General features: G+C 38.9%; 1 long non-coding RNA gene across 1 annotated transcript; it reads left to right on the top strand.

The window, feature by feature from the left end:
• The first annotated feature begins 2,750 nt into the window (after window positions 1-2,750).
• Window positions 2,751-20,716, top strand: LOC107986920 (uncharacterized). The gene is made up of 3 exons (XR_001745821.2): window positions 2,751-2,790; window positions 4,052-4,465; window positions 19,466-20,716. It is a non-coding gene; the product is annotated as an uncharacterized LOC107986920 (long non-coding RNA).
• Window positions 20,717-21,057: the final 341 nt, after the last annotated feature.

Here is a 21,057-nt window from a genome sequence, read left to right as displayed (position 1 = left end):
TAATAAGGCGTTCTTGTCAAAAAATCAACTGACTACATTTTTAAGAGCTTTTTCCTGGGCTCTAGGTTCTATTCCATTGGTTTATATATATATTTTTATGCCAGTACCACACTGGGTTAATTACTGAAATTTTGTAGTAATTTTTGAAAAAGAAAGTGTGAGAACTCCGACTTTGTTCTTTTTCAAGCTTGTTTTGGCTCTTTGGTATCCCATGAGATTCCATAAGAATTTCAAGTTGGATTTTTCTATTTCTGAAAAAAAAAGTCCTTAGAATTTTGTAGTGTCTTTGTCTGGCTTTGGCAGTAGGGTAACACTGGCCTCATAGTTAGGAAATGTCTCCTTCTCTTAAATTTTCTGAAAGCGTTTAAGAAAGATTGGTGTTAATTCTTCTTAAATGTTTGGTAGAATTCACCAGTGAACCCATGTGGTCCTGGGTTTTTTTGTGTGTAATATTTATGATTACCAGTTGAATCTCCTTAGTATCTATATGTCTATTCAGATTTTCTGTTTCTTCATGGCTCAGTTTTGGTAGATTGTGTGTTTAGAAGAATTTGTCCACCTCATCTAGGTTATTCAATTTGTTGGCATACAATGGTTTATGGTATTCTTTTATCATTTTTATTTCTATAGAATCAGTAGTAATGCCTATTCATTTTCCTGTTACAATTGTATTATGATAAGAGCATGAAATACATTTTAAGGGAAAATTATTGAACTTAAATTTCTTATTATTAAATTCATGAAGTTTATAACTCAGGAGGGCAATCTTGGAACAAAAGTTTTGGAACCAAAATTCTCAAGTATCTTATGTCACAAAATAAAGTGCTTTTGTTGGTGGCTTGAGTCAGGATGAAAGGCTGGCTTTTAGTTTGAATTTTGCAGTGTTTCAAATACAGGAAATTTCTAGGTGTCACAGTTAAGACCCAATCTGACTTGGATGCAATTATATCCAAATGTGGCATTTCTGTTTTAGGAGTGATATCAGATGTGTCACATCCATGGATGTCATCAGTCTCCAGGTGATGAAGTAAGAAGGGTAGCATTTGCATAATTCATTGTATATTTAATTTATTACCCATTGTTTTATTTCTGCACTTACCTATAACTTGAATATGTATGGATACAAAGCCAATTCAATTTTTTTGGTAGTTCTTTAAGGCCTAGACAACAGATAACTGTCAATCAATAGATGTAAGGTCAAAAACTGCAAAACAATACTTTTATCTTTGATCATCACAGTAATAGTTTCTAGAAATTGGAAAGCATTTGAAAGAATTGAGAAAGCCAATATCCTTACGGTGGATGGAGAAAATCTTATTTTCTTAGTAGAGTTTAGAAGAGTCAATGGTATGATTTCAAACCAGTTCACATGATGGTATAAACTGGCATAATCGTTCAGTAAAGCAATATGGCAGTATCTTCAAGAGCTCTACAACTATTCATAATCTTGAGCCAATAATTTTATTGTTGATCAATACATTCTAAGAAATAATGCTAATTAAATATATAAAGATCTTGATATAAAAATAGAAAGACAGCTTTCTGTATAGTATTTTATAGTCCCCATAACATAATTGGTAAAGTTTAAGTAAAAGTATGGATTTGTTCACAGCTATAGAAGATTAAAATTAAATTTCATTAACAGGGCAACACACAGATGTTCAGGTACCTTATCCTCAGTCTACCTCCACAGTATTTTGTGAAGTGAAACATTAAGAAAAAAATAAAATTTATTTATCACTAGTGTTTCTATGTGATAATGTGGTCAGCAGTGTTTTGATGGCAAACTAAGATCTTTACATTAAGGAACAAAACATGAACTTATTTAGCAAGATAGAAAAGTAGAATGAGATATGAAAAAATAATTTCAGTATATAGTCTCTAAGGGTCATTTGAATCGGAAATTCTCTAGAACATTGATTTTGTCACAAGGGACATTTGTCAACCTCAGGAGACGTTTTTTGATTGTCTTGACTGGGGGTGGGGAGTGGGGGTGTGCTAGTGACATCTAGTGGTGGAAAGATCAGAGATGCTTGCTGCTAAACATTCTATGCTGGTACAGGACGGTCATCCACAGCTGCCCTGAATGGTCAGTAATGCTGAGGTCGAGAAACCAGCTCTAAAGAAAGTCATGCATATGCTTATGCTATCACAATTATTAATTTACAAGGATGAGAAGTCTCAAACAGGTAGATTTTGACTATGCTATTACTATGATCATGAGATGAAATTACAAGTGTGCTATATTTGAATTGCAGAAGGAAGGAAGTCCAGTATATGGATAATCAGTTACCAGAGACACATTCTATTCTCTACAAAGACTTCCTCTAATTCCACACCCACCACTAAATTATTCAAAATATAAAATTAGGACAAGTGTACAGTAGTATAAATGAGTTAACATCCATTTGCAAAGAGGTCTACATAAAAATATGTTGTCATAAGAGGTGTTACCCTCTCAGCTTTTTTTTTTAGTTTTTATTTTTTGAGATGGGGCCTCCCTCTGTCACCCAGGGTAGTGTAGTGGTGTGATCGTAGCTCACTGTAACCTTGAGCTCCTGTGTTCAGGGGATCCTCCTGCCTCAGCTTTCTGAGTACGGAGGACTGCAAGTGTGGACCACCACACCTGGCTAATAATTTTTTTTTTTTTTTAGGAGACAGGGATCTCGCTATGTTGCCCAGGCTAGTCTCGAACTCCTGGCCTCAAGTGATCCTCTCACCTCATTGTCCGGAGTAGCTGAGATTATAGTGGTGAACCACCATGCCTGGCACCCCCTCAGCTTTATTAAGGTATGATTGACAATTAAAAATGGCATATAATGTGATGCTTTGATATATGTATGCATTGTGAAATGATTAAATCAAGCTAATTAATATATCCATCACCTCACATGCTTATCATTTTCTCGTGGTAAGAACATTTAAGATCTAATCTCTTAGCAATTTCAAGTATACAATGCATTATTATTATAGTTACCATGCTATACAATAGATCTTCAGAACTTATTCATCCGTCTAACTGAAACTTAGTACTTTTTGCTGTTTGCTCTGAGAATCCTTGCTGGCGGCGTTTGCCCAGCATAACTTTGATAGGAACTACCTCGCTTTTAATTTGTCAGGAACTATCTCACTTCTGTTGTTATTTTCCCATTGCTCTAATATATTGACTTCGGAAACAAAAGACATCATTCTATTTATAGCATCCTGTTTTTAGTACTGGTATTTCCATTTAGAAAATATAGTAATTCTCAATCGCTGAAGATGTCAAATCCTAGCAAACGTAGAATTCCTACATTTGATGTTAACGTGGCTCTGGAAAAGTTGTTGGCTGAAAGAAGATTCATTTAATGAATCTGATTTTTTCCGAAATAGACGATTCAGATGATTCTGATGTTCATTCTGTTGAGAAATAACTCTAAGAACTGTTTTTATATTTTATTTTCACATTGAAAATCAGATTTACTTCAGCCTCAAGGAGCGTGTTTATGTAAAATTATATGAGTGCTGGCAGTGAGCTGCACTTTTTTTCGAAACGGTAAAAGCAACACCTCCCCAGTTCTCCTCCATAAGAGGTGTTTTTAATACCTAATATCATTATATTTGATACATACAATAATATGTAATGATATACACATCAGATATAAATATGTACATGATGATATAAGTAGATATTAGTAATGATGCATTAAATGAATACCCATAGCCTGCCACCCAACTTATGACTTAGGACATTACCAACACTGTAGGTTTCTATCTCCCCAAGAGGTAACCACTGTCTTGAACTTTAGATTTATTATTCCCATGCCTTATAAAAATAGTGAAATCATATATACATATCACTACATTGTATGCTGTTTTTGCTTTTCTTTTCCTATATAAAAATGGTATTAGAATGGAGGTAGTCTTTTGCAACTTGCTTTTCTTACTCAATATTTTTCATTTTATCACATGTAATTCATTCATGTTACTTCTGCATAACATTCCTTTGAGTACTTATTCCAAAATTTGGTTATGTTTTCCTGTTTATTATGTATATTATGTACACATTTAGGTCTGTTCGAGGCTAAATTGTTTTCCTCAAAATTGCATATGTTGAAGCTCTAACCCTCCCCAACCGTAGAATGTGACTGTATTGGAGATGGGACCTTCGAAAAGTTGATTAAGGCAGAATAAGGCGTTAGACTGGGCCCTAATCTAATCTGACTGGTATCCTTATAAGAAGAGGACATTGAGATTCACGGAGACACCAAGATTTGCACGTAGAGGAAAGACCCTGTGGGAACGCACCAAGAAGGCAGCCATCTGCAACCCAAGGAGGGAGGCCCCAGGAAAAGGCCCCTGCCGCCATCTTGATCCAGGACTTCCGCCATCTTGACCCAGGACTGCTACTCTCCCAAGCAGTGAGAAAAATCCATTTCTGTTGTTTAAGCCACTCAGCCTGTGGCATTTTGTTATGGCAGCTCCAGTAAGTGAATACAGGGTTGTATCTAGTTTTTAATGTTATGAACAATGCTGCTAAAAACATTTTAGTTTCTCTCCACATGTACCTCATACTTTCTTCTCCATATGCAAGAGTGGTACTGCTGGGTTGTCGAGTATACATATTTTTCTCTAGTAAGATAGTGCCTAAAAGTTTTCCACAGAAGTGTAAAATTTTAACATAACTCTACAATGTTGCGAATACTTAATATTGTCAGACTGAATTGTTGCTGTTCTTGATTTTTCTAAATTGAATTTTCTTTTTCTTCCTTACCTTGTTCATGGGTTCAGAAGTTATCTACCGTATTTCTTTTATTTTAGTGGTTACCTTTAGTATTTTACCTTACATCTTTTACATTTTTTTTTTGAGATGGAGTCTTGCTCTGTTGCCCAGGCTGGAGTGCAGTGGTGCGATCTCGGCTCACTGCAAGCTCTGCCTCCTGGGTTCACGCCATTCTCCTGCCTCAGCCTCCCCAGTAGCTAGGACTGCAGGCGCCAGCCACCACGCCCAGCAATTTTTTCCTGTATTTTTAGTAGAGATGGGGTCTCACCGTGTTAGCCAGGAAGGTCTCAATCTCCTGACCTTGTGATCCGTCCGCCTTGGCCTCCCAACGTGCTGGGATTACAGGCGTGAGCCACCGCGCCCGGCCAAAATTTTTTTTTAATATTTGTGGGTACATAGTAGGTGTATGTATTTATGGGACACATGAGATGTTCTGATACAGGCATGCAATGTGAAATAAGCACATCATGGAGAATGGAGTATCCATCCCCTCAAGCATTTATCCTTTGAGTTATAAACAATACAATTATACTCGTTAAGTTATTTTTAAATGTACAATTATTATTGGCTATAGTTATCCTGTTGTGATATCAAATAGTGAGTCTTATTCATTCTAATTTTTTGTACCCATTAACTATGCCTTCCTCCCCACCAGCCCCCCATTACCCTTCCCAGCCTTTGGCAACCATCCTTCTACTCTCTACGTCCGTGAGTTCAATTGTTTTGACTTTTAGATCCCACAAATAAGTGAGAACAGTGATGTTTGTCTTTCTGTGCCTGGCTTATTTCACTTAACATAATGATCTCCAGGTTTACTGTACATCTTTTAATCTAAAGTTAATCAGTGTCTTTCCCAGGATCATATAAGAGGCTTAGAACATTGTTGCAATCACACTTTCCCAACTTACATGGTACTGTTGTCTAGTGTTTTGTTTTAATTATGTTGTTTTAACTATGTTGCCCAGGCTAGATTCCAACTCCTGGGCTTAAGGAATCCTCCTACCTCAGCCTCCCAAGTAGCTGGGCCTATAGGTATGCATCACTGTACCTGGCTGTTTTTCTTTTTTTTAAATTTAAATACACACATCTTTCTCTGTTGCCCAGGCTGGAGTGCAGTGGTGTGATCACAGCTTACTACAGCCTTGCTTGAACTCTTGGACTCAAGTGATCCTCCTGCCTCATCTTCCCAAGTAGCTGAGACTACAGGCGTGCACCACCATGATGGGCTAATTTTTCTGTTTTTCACGGTAACTGGGTTTTGCCATGTTGCCCAGACTAGTCTCAAACTCCTGGGCTCAAGTAATCCAGTGCCTTGGCCTCCCAAAGTGCTGGGATTACAGACATGAGCCATCACGCCTGGGCTGTTTTCATTTTTTTCTTAACTTATGAAGCTAGACGCTATTATTCTATATAGGTAATATGTGCTTTAGATATACACATGTTTATCATTTTGTTTCTTTGTTCATTCATTCCTTCTTATATTTCACACTTTGCTCCTTCAGCTGGTTTTTGTTTTTGATTTTCTTTCATTTCTGAACATCTTTTAGAAGTACCATTAGTGAAGGTTCACTGGAGATAAATTCTGTTTTTGCTTATCTGAAAATGCCTTTCAGTTTTATTCTTGAAATACAGTTTTTTGGAGGTCATAATTCGAGGGCCATGGTGGTTTGCTGTCTGTATTTTTTATGTATTATTTGACATTTCAGTTCTCTGACTTCCATTTGTTGCTGTTAAGAAGACTGCTAACAGTCCGGTGATCATTCTGTATATGTATAGGTGACATTTTTTCTCACTGGGTGCTTTTTTTGAGATGGATCTTGCTCTGTCACCCAGGCTGGAGTGCAGTGGCATGATCTTGGCTCACTGCAACCTCCACCCTCCCTAGGTTCAAGCAATTGTCCTGTCTTAGCCTCTCAAGTAGCTGGGATTACAGGCACATATCACCACATCTGGCTAATTTTTTATATTTTTTGTAGAGACGGACGGGGTTTCACCATGTTGGCCAGGCTGATCTCAAACTCCTGACCTCAAGTGATCCACCAGCTCAGCCCCCAAAGTGCTGGAATTACAGGCATGAGCCACTCTGCCCGGCTTTACTGGGTGCTTTAATAGGATGACCTGGTATGTGAGTTTGCCTACGACAGCTGTTTTAAGTCTGTTTTCTTAGAACATCTATTAAGAATGCCCTCATTGACTCCAAAAAAAGTTCTAGTTTGGAGAATAAATAATATGGTTACCTCAGCATTTAAGATCTTTTTTTATCTTTCCTGTTCAGTTTCACTGAACTGTATCTGGAGTTAGGTTTATTTTAATTCATGACCCTTGATACATGGCATATTCTTTATTTCCCTTTTTTTCCTTGCAGCAACAACTTCTACTCTATCCTCATATGTGCTAATTCTCTCTTTAGCTATATCTAAATTGGCATTTTGCCCATCCATTGAGCCTTTAAAGCCAATTGATTATATTTTCAAAATCAATTCATTTAAAATAAATTATTGGCTCATTTATGATATGTTTTATTGCTTGTGCAATGCTCAGTTTTGTCTGTCTTTTATACAATCTTTTTTCTTCTTCATACAGATTTATTTTGTATTCTATATCTGATAATTCCAATATTAAATTCAGTTCTTTGGGTTATAAGTTATTTTTTCCTGGACTTTTTTTCATGCTGGCCTATTTCCTCATATGTTTGATGACTTTGCACCATGAACTTATATTTGATTGACTTTAATCAGTTGGAATCCTGAGGTCCTAAATCATGGAAGCTTTCCTCAGAAAGAATTTGTTTTACTTTCTGATGTGTGCCAGTGGGAGCTGCTAGTCTGGAACCACTTTAGACTGCTTCAAAAGACCCAGCTTAATGTGAGAGTCTCGGGTTTAGCTCCCAGACTTTGTGTTGAGCTCTAGGAATGTGGATTTTTCTGTTTTACCTTTCAGTTGTATTAGTTTCTGCTTCATGTACTTTGAAGTTCTGTTGTTTGATGCATGCACGTTTAGGATTGTTACGTCTTCTTGGCAAATTGATCCTTTAGCATTACGTAATACCCCTCTGAATCCCTGGTAATATTCCTTGTTCTGAAGCCTACTTCGTCTGCTGTTAGTATGGCCACTCTCACTTTTTTTTAGTTTGAGTTTGCATCTTATATCTTTTTCTACCCTTGTATTTTTAACCAATGTCTTTAAAGTTAGTTTCCTGTAGACAGCATAAAATTGGTTCTTGCTTTTTAAAAATTGTTCTAACAATCTGTCATGTAATTGAAGCTGATAGAGTTAATTTTTTCTATGGAATTTATATAGGAGAGGACTAAAATTTTTTGGTAGTATTGAAATAGTCACTTATTAATAATGAGATACATAAAAATTACTAAATTAGTCCACAGTATCAAAGTTCTAAATGTTGTCTAGCACATGATAGGTACTCAAAAAGCATGTATCACATGAAATGCTGAAAATGTTTAGGGTTACCTAGATTCAGCCAAATACATTTATTGAGCGCTTACTGTTTCCTAAACTGTATCAGGCGCCAGCCTAGTTGAAATAAAGAAAATATAGTACTGTGTTGACTTGCATTATTTCACCTTTCTTCCCGTTTCATTCTGAAATGATAGGTAGAAATGGGAGTGATAGAAGCAGTTTCTCAACAGCCCAGAATCTTAGAGGATAATTTGTGGCTGGCTTTTTTTTTTTGAGATGGAGTCTTGCTCTGTCGCCCAGGCTGGAGTGCAGTGGCGTGATCTTGGCTCACTGCAAGCTCCGCCTCCCGGGTTCATGCCATTCTTCTGCCCCAGCCTCCCGAGTAGCTGCAGTGACTGGTGTTTTAATTGCCCACAGCAATGTTTGCCCCTGGTTTTGATTGTAATTAGAAGCAGAATGTACTTTAAATAAATATTGATGCTTGATACGGAAGCTTTGCCTCAAATTTCCCCATTTCCACCCTCTTTCTCATCTCCCTGCTCCCATTTGACACTGCACTGGGACAGCAGCACCCTCATGTTGCTTGGTGTAACCGAAATGGCGGTGGGATTTGGAACTCAGAAGGTAGTTGTTAGAATCCTGGCTCAGCCATTAATTTGTTCTGGGAATTTCAGAACAAGTAGATTCAGATTGCTCAGCAACAAACACATAGAAGGCGCTAAGTCCTGACCCCTGTCCGATTAAAAAAATTATAAATCCAAGGATGATGTGAAACATACTTTTAAAGATAAAAAGAATCTGGATTATTTATTAGTGACTTCTTAGGAAATTGTTATTATGGAGAAATTTTAAACATCAAAAGTAAAGGGAATGGTATAATAGAACCCATGTTCTCATTATCAAAACATTTCGCCAATCTTTTTGCTTATCTCTAGCCCACCTTTTTTTTCCTTTTGTTTCCCAAAGCATTCTAAGGAAATAGATACCAAATAACAGGTACCAGGTCATTACACCTATAAATACTTCAGTATATAAGTAAATCTTTTAAAATTACATCTACTAAACTTTTCTTGGGTCCTACTCCCTCCTTATTAGATTAGGAAACTAAGAAGTTAGTGACTTGCCCAAGGCCATATAATTAAGTGGAAGAACTGGAGCGAGAACGTTAGTGTTCCTAATGCTTAATCCTGTATTCTTTCCCCATAACATGTTGGCTCTGAAGAACACCTATGTACTAACTGTCTTAGACTGTTCAGGCTGCTATAAGAATGTGGCTTACAAATAACACAAACTTATTTCTCACAACTCTGGCCGCTGAGAACTACAAGACGCAAGTGTCAGCAGATTTGGTGTCTGGTGAGGGCCTGCTTTTTGGTTCATAGATGGTACCTTCTAGAGGTGTCCTCGCATGGGGAAAGGGGTAAACAAGCTCCCTTGACCTCTTTTGTAAAGGCACTAATTTTATTCATCCATGAGGGCCCTGCCCTCGTGACCTAATCACCCTCCCTTTGGGTGCCACATCTCTTAATGCCATCACACTTGGGATCATGTTTCAATACAGGATTTTTGGGGAAATACAAATGTTCAGATCATAACACTAGCTAAAAAGAAAATTGCAATTAGATTCTCCACCAGTATCGTGTATCAGAATCATCTTAGACAATATTAGAAATGCAGGTTCCTGAGCCCCATCCCCAAAGGACCTCATTTCTTAGGGCTGAGCTGAAGCCAGCAGTGTGTTAGAGCCAACTTATTTCAGTTCCTGAGAGCCAACTATTAAATTTCAAGAATTTTATGAGCTCATTACTAAAAATCATTACAAATTAAATTGTAGAAGCTCACAGTTACATAAATTATGTTAAAAACAAGCATAATAAGTATACAAAACTCATCACTTCCTATTGACTTTACTACACGTTGCTATTATCTGTGCTTTTGAGGTTATGTCTATTACTTCTGTGTGGTGGAGATACTGATACTGGTGTGCTACTGTACATCTCTTCCCAACTTCACATGCACTGGTAGCTTGAAATTGGCCATGTGGGAATATTTACACCATGGCATTTGTCAAATACAACCAGGCTTGATTTATTGTTTTGTTGGTTATGTAGACAATGATGGAATAAATGTTAATAATGTAGATTAAACTTAAAGTGTGTCATGCCTGTGGTTGTTACATGATAAATAGTATAAACTTAAGGAAATTATTGTCCCAGTCTTCAAAAACTATCTTCCAGTTCATCAAAGAAGTCTCTCACATCATTAATAAGTCATGTGAGATTAAGAAATGATGCTTCATTTTTACTCATTAATGTAAACAAAATTATTATTATGATTTAAGAGACAAGGTCTTGCTCTGTCATCCAGGCTAGAGTGCAGCAGTATGAACTTAGTATTCTCAAGCTCCTGGACTGTAGCACTCCTGCTGCCTCAGCCTCCTGAGTAGCTGGGACTACAAGTATATTCCATGGTGCCTGGAGAAATTTAAAAAAAAAGTTTTTTAGAGACAGGGCCTCGCTACGTTGCTTAGGCTGATCTTGAACTCCTGGCCTCAAGTAATCCTTTCATCTGAGTAAACAAAATTATTACCCAACATTCAATTGGAACTATACTTGTTCATCTCTTGCAGCCATAGGCTGACTGCAGATACAAGAGTTTAGCAAAAGCCAACAAAAGCATTTTGTAAGATTTATTACATTTACAATAAAGAATATTGGATGTATTATTACTTGTAAATTAGGTCCTACACATTCTCTTATCAGTAATATTTTCTAGCATACCTCTATATAAAACCCTGGAAACTGCATTTCAAATTAGCATCTCAGATACACTCATGCATACTAAATTTGGAGAACCACTGTTTTAGTCATTGAACAAAAAAATCAGGATCACTTAATTTAGTCTCCAAAGGTTCTTCCTGATTTTTACTGAAAGCAAGATAGAGAACATGTTCTTTCAAATGCAGAGGCCTGTTTTTTAAATTTAAAAATTAATTTTAAAGTAGTTGTAGAGAGGTATAATTAACATACAAAAAATTGGCACACTTTAGCATACGCAAGTTGCTAAGCTTCGACATATGTATACCCCCGTGAAACCATCACCACAATCAAGATTGTGAATATATCCATCCCCCCTAAAAGTTTTCCAGTACCCCTTGGTAATTCTTTCCTTCCACGCCTTCTTACATACCCCATACCCAAGTAACCACTGATCTCCTTTCTGTCGCTATGTTAGTTTGCATTTTTTAGAATTTTGTATAAATGAAATCATACAATATGTGACTTTTTTGGTATGTTTATTTTTCTCAGCATAATGATTTTGAGACCTATCCTCGTTGGTGAGCGTCTGAGTAGTTAATTCCATTTTCTGATTGAGCAGTATCCCATTTTATTATATGCCACAATTTCTTTATTTACCTGCTAAGGACATTTGGGTTGTTTACAGTTTTTGCCTGTTACAGATAATACTGCTCATGATGCAGGGCAGGCAAATCCCAACACTGGGGCTTAGCGCAGGAGTGTTCTTGGCTTCACCCAGGAAAGTATTCAAGAGTGAGTAAGGCAGTGGTGTTAGACAGCAACTTTTATTGAAATGGCAGTGTACAGCAGTGGCAAATGTACAGCTCCTTGTGGAGCAGGGATACCCCATAGGCAGTGTGACCAGAGTAGCAGCCCAGAGGCAGGTCTGCACTGACATTTATACCCACTTTTAATGACATGCAAATTGAAGGATGCATTATGCAGCAATCTTTAGAAAATGGGTGGTAACTTCTGGGCCATTGGATTGTTGCCATGGAAGGGAGTGGTAACTTCCAGGTGTTGCCATGACAGTGGTAAACTGACATAACACAGTAGTGGGTGTGTCTAATGGAAAGCTGCTTCTGCCTCATTCTGTGTTTTAGCTAGTCCTCAACTCAGTCCAGTGTCCAAGCCCTATCTCTGTAGTCAAGTCCTACCTCCTGAGTCAAGTCCTTCCTCTTACCTCACAATGAACATTTGTGTTTAGATTTTTATATTGAAATGTATTTCCCTTTCTCTTAGATAAATATCTGGGAGTAGAATGGCTGGATCATATGGCTGATATGTGTTTAACTTTTTTTTTTTTTTTTTTTTTTTGAGACAGAGTCTCACTCTGTCACCCAGGCTGGAGTCCACTGGTGCAATCTCGGCTCACTGCAACCTCCACCTCCCCCAGGTTCAAGGGATTCTTCCTGCCTCGGCCTCCTGAGTAGCTGGTATTATAGGCGCCTGCCACCAAGCCCGGATAATTTTTGTATTTTTAATAGAGACGTAGTTTTGCCGTGTTGGCCAGGCTGGTCTCAGACTCTTGACCTCAGGTGATCTGCCCGTCTTGGCCTCCCAAAGTGCTGGGATTACAGGCGTGAGCCACTGCTCCCGGCTGATACGTGTTTAACTTTTTAAGAAACTACCACTCTGTTTTCCAAAATGGCAGAAATCAATTATTTTCTTCCCTGTCTCCCTCCGTCCTTTTCTTTCTTCCTCCTTTCTTAACCCCCACACCCCCGCAACTTATTTCTTTCTTTCTTTTGTGGTGGTGAGAAAGTATGAGTAATTAAGACTTTCATGTGAGCACTCCAAGCAAGCTAGTAATGTAACATAATTTATATCATTTAAGTAATTACTTAACATTTATTTAGTAGGAGTGGGAAAGTATTTTGTAGTAATGAACATTACCTAGAGTTAGAGTCACTTAATTTACTTCATTGGCTGATGATGAATTTGTTTAAATTTGTTTTCCACTTTTTCAGCAGTTCTAGTTTGCCCTTCCATTTCCTTTTGTGAGTTTCTGAACCAGACAACACCTTGGGAGGTATATTAAAGGGTTTAACATTTTGGATAATAAAAGATTCACTCACTTCTGTAAGTATTATGCCATGTATTATTTGGTTTTAGAATTTCAGTTGAAGGCAGCAAATTACTATTTAGCATGTATACATTGCCAAAATATTCAACAGAGTGTGTGTGTGTGTATGTGTGTGACTGTGTGCGTGCATGTGTGTGTGTGTGTGTGTGGTGGGGTGGTGTTTGTCTTCCAACTCCGAAATGCCTGTTTCAAGAGTAGTGAGACAATTACATTTTACTCGGGATAAGTGGGGCTGTATTTCCAATTTATTTTAGCGTTATGTGAGTTCCCCCTTATAGTTTCCTCTTATAGATTGTTGCTCTAAGAAGCTGCCTGGCAGACCTCTGCCTCTATCTGGCTCTGAATGTTCCCTTTGAAGAAAGAAAACCTAAAAGCTAAGACTAGGTATGCTATTATTATACAAGGAGACTTTTCAAAACCCCTAATCTAAACTAGCATAGCTTCAGTTCATTGCCAGTTAATTGTAACTAGAAATTCAGAGCCGCATCAAGGCATCTGCAAGGACATGCCCACAGGGAACCCTGACCAGAAAACATTTTTCTTTGTACGTGTGACAGCTTCTGACTTACTTCAAGATAAGGCATTATTTCCCACATTTTCTTGGAATGAGTTCGTTGGTGGCAGAACTGGAAGAGACGATGACCTAGCCAGTGCTATTGCTTACTGGAGCTTCAGGTAGCCCTCCCAGGAGGAGGTGGTTTCGGCAACCTCCTCCATCCTTGGGGAAAGAGGCAACAGGTGCAAATTCTCCCAGAAGTTACTGGACCAGTGCCCAATTCTTTGATGACTCGGCAATGTGGTGTTATTAAAATTTATTTTGTTATTTTATCTGTAATCACCATATTACTCTGAAAAATGTAACTTTTCATATAGCAGTAAAAGTTTATTATCCACCCCCAACACCCAGCCTTTTCCTGGGTGTTATTTTCCAGTGAATTGCAGAAGTTATGTAAAAGTCTTCAAAAAGCCCTTTATCAGCAAGGGAACAGTCTGTCTTTCTCTGCCCAATCAAGATAAAAGCTGTGTCTGAAGGGAAGCACTGTTTATAGGTCCTGGGACTGGTTGTCTTCCAAGATGCTAGTAAAAAAGAAAAAAAAAGTAGGAAGGAGAAGTATCTGTTCTGTGAGAGGGAAAAGAAACAAACACACAAAGAGCTTCCTTATTTTAGTTCTGTGAACACTGTTGATATGACTCTAGTTATTGGCTTAATAAAATGAGAGTACACAGATGGCACTAATTATCACCCCAATGAGAGTACAAAACATGGTATGATATGAGTAAAGAATGAAGCAAATGACTGAAGGAGTATATGCATTCATCGCCATCTTGTTGGCCTTTCCATTGTGATACTTCCTCACCCTTCTGACCACACATAGCACAGCAAAGGATCACTGGACTGGGAGTTGGGTGGGCAAATCCCAATTCTGAATTTATCTTGTTCTTAGAGGAAATATTAGAGATCAGTGGTTTCCTCCTATTTTCCTCCTATTATTCTTTCCTACCAAGAACCTATTTTTATTATTTCTGCCCTGTAAATAGGATGTTTTGAAAAATATTATTAGTTACCTCTTTTATCTCAGACTGTAAGGTATGGGAACCCCAGAGTTGTGTCCATGGGAAAGGTTGGCCTGAGTTTGAATCCTGACGTCATGGCTTACTAGCTGTATGACCTTGGGAATGTTCTATAACCTCTTTAAGCCTCAGTTTCTCTATAGGGTTGTGGCAAGTATATATTTATGGCTTAGAGCAGCGGTTCCCAATCTTCTTGGCACCAGGGACTGGTTTCGTGGAAAACAGTTTTTCCACGGGCAGGGGGTGGGGGATGAAATCTTCTACCTCAGATTATTAGGCATTAGTTAGATTCTCATAAACAGCCTACAACCTAGATCCCATGCATGTGCAATTCATGATAGGGTTCGTGCTCCTATGAGAATCTAATGCCACCGCAGATCTGACAGGAGGCAGAGCTCACGTGGTCATGCTCTCTTGCCTGCTGCTCACCTCCTGCTGTGCGGTCCAGTTCCTAACAGGCCAGAGACTGGTACTGGTTTGCAGCCTGGGGCTTGAGGACCCCTGGCTTAGAGCAGTGCCTGGAACATGGTGCAAGTCAAACTACAATAGTAATATGATGATGATGATGATGATGATGATGATGATACGGTTATTACTGCTATTATTGTTTGAACTAACCAGGGAGAAGGGTTGGCCCTTTTTAGAGTTGACTAGCAGTCCCACCTACACGTCCAAAAGAATATGGAAAACTGTGGTTTGAGTGGTGTTGCCGTATTGTTTAAGGACGTGTGGGAGTGAGCAACAGGAGTTTGGGTGCAGAGGTACTATTTTTCAGGTTGCTGAGGTCTACACTAATTTTTTGGGGGCTCTCAAGGTCAGAGAAGGGTTAGGGAGCAAAGTTAGAGTATTGCAGGTGGGGGAAAGTGACATAGAAAAAAAAAAAAGCAAGAAGGGGTCAAGGTATAGGTCAGATAGTCTGGGCTTCAAACTTCAGGGTTTGTTACCAGAGGGGGACTCTTACCTGCAGAAAACCATGTCCAACCATTAAAACTCCCTGTAAAACAAAGGTATTACTGCAAGAGAGTGCAGCTGGTGGAAGGCAGACACTCAAGGCAGGTCCAGACATGGTGAGCCCATCCTGCCCATGAACGGGCTGTGGTTCCTAACAGAGGGCACCATATTTGCTTAGGACAAACTCAGGTCTCTGTCATGGCCGATTGTAGGTTAAAGGTCTTGAGAGTCTATAACTGCAGGAGTGGGAAAAGTAGGGCTCATGATGTTTTTCCCATTTTTATTAACATTATTTCTCTATTCCATCTCTGATCCAAATATTTAACCAAACATTTACCGTCATTGAAGTATAATAAGTTTACCTGATATCTGATGGTGGTGATGCTAAAAGACAATCAGGATATGCAAATATACAGGATATATAAATATACAGGATATGCAAATATAGAGATACATATGCACTGTTCACTGCTTCTGCCTGCTTAATTCTGGGTTGGTTTCTAGGCCAAAAAACGCATGGTATGCTGGACACTCTGTGCTCAGTGACTCGGTCCCCATTCACATTCCAGAGTGTCCTGTGATGTCAACCGCGAATCAGCATAGGCTCATTGTGAAATGTCAGTGTAACCACATAGGTTTTATATGATTCTAGTAAAACTTTAATATTTACTTAGCTTTTTCAGCAGCATTGTGAGAAAATATGCCTCTTTTGTTGTTTTGAGGGCTCATAGATAGCTAAAGATACTTCTTGACAAACTCAATGGATACTATAGAATTTTTTTATCTTTTTTTGAGACGGAGTCTTGCTCTGTTGCCAGGCTGGAGTACAGTGGCGTGATCTCGGTCACTGCAGCGTTTGCCTCCAGGGTTCAAGCGATTCCCCTGCCTCAGCCTCCTGAGTAGCTGGGACTACAGGCACGTGCCACCACGTTGGGCTACTTTTTTTGTATTTTAGTAGAGATGGGGTTTCATCATATTGGCCAGGATGGTCTCAATCTCCTGACCTCGTGATCCGCACGCCTCGGCCTCCCACAATGCTAGGATTGCAGACATAAGCCACCACACCCCGCCTCAGAATTGTATACATGGAACCATTACCCACCTCTGGAAACTCTCTGACCACTGAGGCATCTCCCTTACTGGTTCTGGCTTTCCCATCATTCCTTCCCAGCATCCTTTACAGAATCCTCTAATGTAGGGGTATCCAATCTCCAGGCCATGGATGAGTATTGGTCTGTGGCCTATTAGGAACTGGGCTGCAGTCAGGAACAGCAGGAGGTGAGTGGTGAGTGGCGGGCCAGTGAGCAATGCTTCATCTGTATTTACAGCCACTCCCCATCACTCACATTACCACCTGAGCTCTGCCTCCTGTCAGATCAACAGCAGCATTAGATTCTCATAGGATCTCGAACCCTATTGTGAACTGCTCACGTGAGCTATCTAGGTTGTGAGCTCCTTATGAGAATCTAATGCCTGATGATCTGTCATTGTCTCTTGTCACCCCCAGATGGGACCATTTAGTTGCAGGAAAATGAGCTCAGGGCTCCCACTGATTCTACATTATGGTGAGTTGTATGATTATCTCATTATATATTACAATGTAATAATAATAGAAATAAAGTACACAATAAATGTAATGTGCTTGCATCATCTCAAAACCACCCCTGCCCCTGTGGTCCATGGAAAAATTCTCTTCCATGAAACCTGTCCCTGGTGCCAAAAAAGTTGGGGACCGCTGCTCAGATGCTCCCTGGATTGTGCTCTCGGCCACCACCTTGCACTGGATCTTCTCTCTCTAGTTGGTCTTTTCATTCTAATTATTTAAACAATTACATTTTTGTACATGGAGGACCTCCATTCTTTCTAGATCTCTAGCTCTAGCCTATCCTGAGTTCCAGATCTCTATTTCCAATTGATAACCAGACCTCTCCTCTGAGATATCGCACGGATTCCATCAAGGCTCAGCCACTTTTGCCATTGGTTTTTCCTGTTGGCTTAAACCAATCATAATTTATTTCCCTAGCCCTACTCAGAGCTGGGGCAGTGTTGATTCTCTCTTTTAGGGCCTCGTGGAGATGGGCTTTGAGCAAACTTAGGGCTCTTCCAGCAAGAAAGAAAGAATGTTGATTAAGCGACTAACAGTGTCTGCTCACATCCACAGATTTGCACCCTACTAAAATTCATATAATAAATTTTTTTCTGGCATAATAATTTTTTTTCTGGCATTCAAAGTCCCCCATTTCTAGACTCAGAACACTTTTAAAGTCTTGCCTTTCCTTTTAAATGTCCCACATGTTCTGGTCATTTTGGATCCTGTCCTTTGGATCAGGACTTGCCTAGGATTTCCCAATCTCTGCTTCAGTTACTTCTTGGGGACCACCTCCTATTTTCTCAGCCCATCCGAATTCTACTAACCTTTCAAGATCTCTTTCAAAAGCCACTTCTGGCTGGGTGCAGTGGCTTATGCCTGTAATCCCAGCACTTTGGGAGGCCGAGGCGAGCGGATCACGTGAGGTCAGGAGTTCGAGACCAGCCTGGCCAACATGACGAAACTCCATCTCTACTAAAAATACAAAAATTAGCTGGACGTGGTAGTGGGTACCTCTAATCTTAGCTACTGGGCAGGCTGAGGCAGGGGAATATGGAGGTAGACGTCGCAGTGAGCCGAGAATGCACCACTGCACTCCATCCTGGGTGACAGAATGAGACTCTGTCTCAAAAAAAAAAAAAAAAAAAAAAAAGCGTCAGTTCTAACGTGAAGCCATCTATGGACAATTCAGGGCTCTCTCTTTTTTCTACTTTTAATCCCTATATTTCCAGTCTTCTCTACTAGATTTTAGGTTTCTTGATAAAAACTATGCTTAGTCATTTGTGTGGTTCCCACTGTACTGGGCACACAGTAACTGCCTAACTTACTGTTGGATGAATAATGATTTGACTCGAACATTTTCTGGTTGTGTTTACAGAAAAAGCCAAACACATCTCATATAGCAAGGGAGGCATTACTGGCATCATCTGGTTTGAAGGCCAAATTTCTCCTCAATGGGACACGTTTGTGGCTATATACAGTGAATCCCCTCTGTGCAACAGGAAAGGAAATACCCTTGTTTCTGAAATTGGCAAAGCTTGTTTCCCACGTTATTGCCTTTGCCTGTCTTTTTCTTTTCTTGGCGGATAACGCACTTGTTGCTTTTCTTTAGACATTTCTTGTTTTTGGACGTATTGATACTGACTATACTCGCCCTTCCCTTCCTCAGGCTATTTTCCCTGTTCAGTGTTAATATTTTATACAGTAGCTCTTCTAGTATCCTTGAGTGTACCTTTATGCATCTTATTTCTACTATTGGTAATAAAGATTCTTATAATAATGTGTGTTGAAACATATTGTCTTATTAATGGAGAGTTTATCATAGTGTTTCATAGTGAAAGGGCACAGAGTAAGGTATGAAAGTGGGACAGGATTTTGTAGATATTGACTTAAATGATAAATATCTACTTTTTAAAGTGGTGCTAAAAATGCTTGGAAAGAAACAACAGTAATAATTTAAATAACCTATCCATCAGAATTTAAAAATTAAAGGTGGAGTAAAGGTTAGAAGACCTTTCTCTAAAATACTGAATTTTGAGTTATCAAAGGGAAACTATTTGAAAACTAGTTTTCCAATTGATAAATAAAGGTCTGGGTGAGCTAGATATGCACGTTGGTGAATTAGTGTAATTACTGTAGAAATAAAAGACACCGTTTTCAGCAGATCTGTGTTTAGATATCTGGATTTTATGTCAGGCAGATGCAGACCAGATCTAGATTAATCTCTGCTGCCCCACTCATCTTGTTTTCTGTACTAGTTCCCTCTGTTACCCTTTTGTTCTCTTCTATAGATTGGAGAAGTGACGACGCTGAGTGGACAGAAGTAGAATGAAAAACTCAACCTGTGAAGCACCCTGATGTACCAAATGACTTTTTTTTTTTCTTTTTGAGATGGAGTCTTGCTCTGTTGCCCAGGCTGGAGTGATCTTGGCTTACTGCAACCTCCGCCTCCCAGGTTCAAGTGATTCTCATGCCTCAGCCTCCCGAGTAGCTGGGATTACAGGTGCGCGCCCCCACGCCCGGCTGATGTTTGTATTTTTAGTAGAGACGGGGTTTCAACATGTTGGCCAGGCTGGTCTTGAGCTCCTGACTTCAGGTGATCCACCTGCCTCGGCCTCCCAAAGTGCTGGGATTATAGGCATGAGCCACTGCGCCTGGCCTGTACTAGATGACTTTTATGTGAGATCTCAGTTATGCAGTTGAAAGCGTTACACCAGAGAGCTGTGCCTGTTGTGCCATTTGGAGAAGAAAGCTCGGCAATGGTGCAGTGAGAGGGACACACGTTCCCCCTTTAGTCCTCCTCCTGGACTGAGCTGGAGAGAAACAGCACGAACAATGAAGAGTGTAAATTTGAAAATAGTAGGAAACAACTCGCTTATTTTAATGTGTATATTTAAAGGCGTTAATTCAAAACATCCAGAAGAAATTAAAAGCATCCCCTTTTCAGTCAGCAAATATTAACAAAGCCCCCACTATGTTTGAGTTGTGCTTATGGAATGAGGTCTTGAACATGTGTGACCTTTTTTTTCTAGAAGAGCAAAGTTGACCTCTCCAGGTCAAATGTTTATTTTACTCATTTAAAATAAAAAATTCATTTAGAAATATATTTCATATTTTCCATGTTCCTTAAGTAGACTCTATGGAATATAATTAGATCCTAGCTTAATGATTTACCACCCACAATAGTACTGTCTGGCCAGTATTTATGCTTGGGTACAACAATCCTCTTCCGTCTAATGAGCAGTCTCTAACTATACGGCACATTTGCTGTCATCTAAGAAATCAGATAACCCTGATTACTAGAACTGTATTTAAAGTAAGAGTCAACATGACATGAGTACGTGTCTTCGAAAATAATGTAATTGAGTTTTAATGAATGAGTTTCACAACTGTTCTTTCAGCTACTGAATGGCTCTGGGTCAAAGTTCTCAAAGACCCTGGTGAGGCTGAGAAGTCTAACCTTGAACTGTGTGAAGTATTTCTGTACCTAAAAATACCTATTCAAATATATTTGAAACAAGTTATTAAAGATATTAAACATATTGTACGTATCTTGCATTTTATAAATGTAAAAGTTTGCCACTTTATATATTGTTTTAGAATATATATTTTTATATGGGCTGCCCTATAAAAATGATGCCACGATGCCATATATTTTATTCCATTTTTTCCCTAAGGGGATAAAATCACTCTGACACCATGACTTGACTTATTTCCACAACTTTCTATATATTTCCTTACTATTACTGCATTATCAGCACCATATTAAGGTACACTTGTAATGTCCTTGTAAATTAAAATAACATATTTTGATTCTCAAATCATGTTTATGAAAAATGTTTAACCACATGACTAAAGCTAAACTCCATATAGAAACTTTTCT

This window comes from Homo sapiens, chromosome 8, assembly GCF_000001405.40.
Source record: "Homo sapiens chromosome 8, GRCh38.p14 Primary Assembly".
NCBI classification, from domain to species: Eukaryota; Metazoa; Chordata; class Mammalia; order Primates; family Hominidae; genus Homo; species Homo sapiens.
This window is presented reverse-complemented; position numbering and strand designations above follow the sequence as displayed.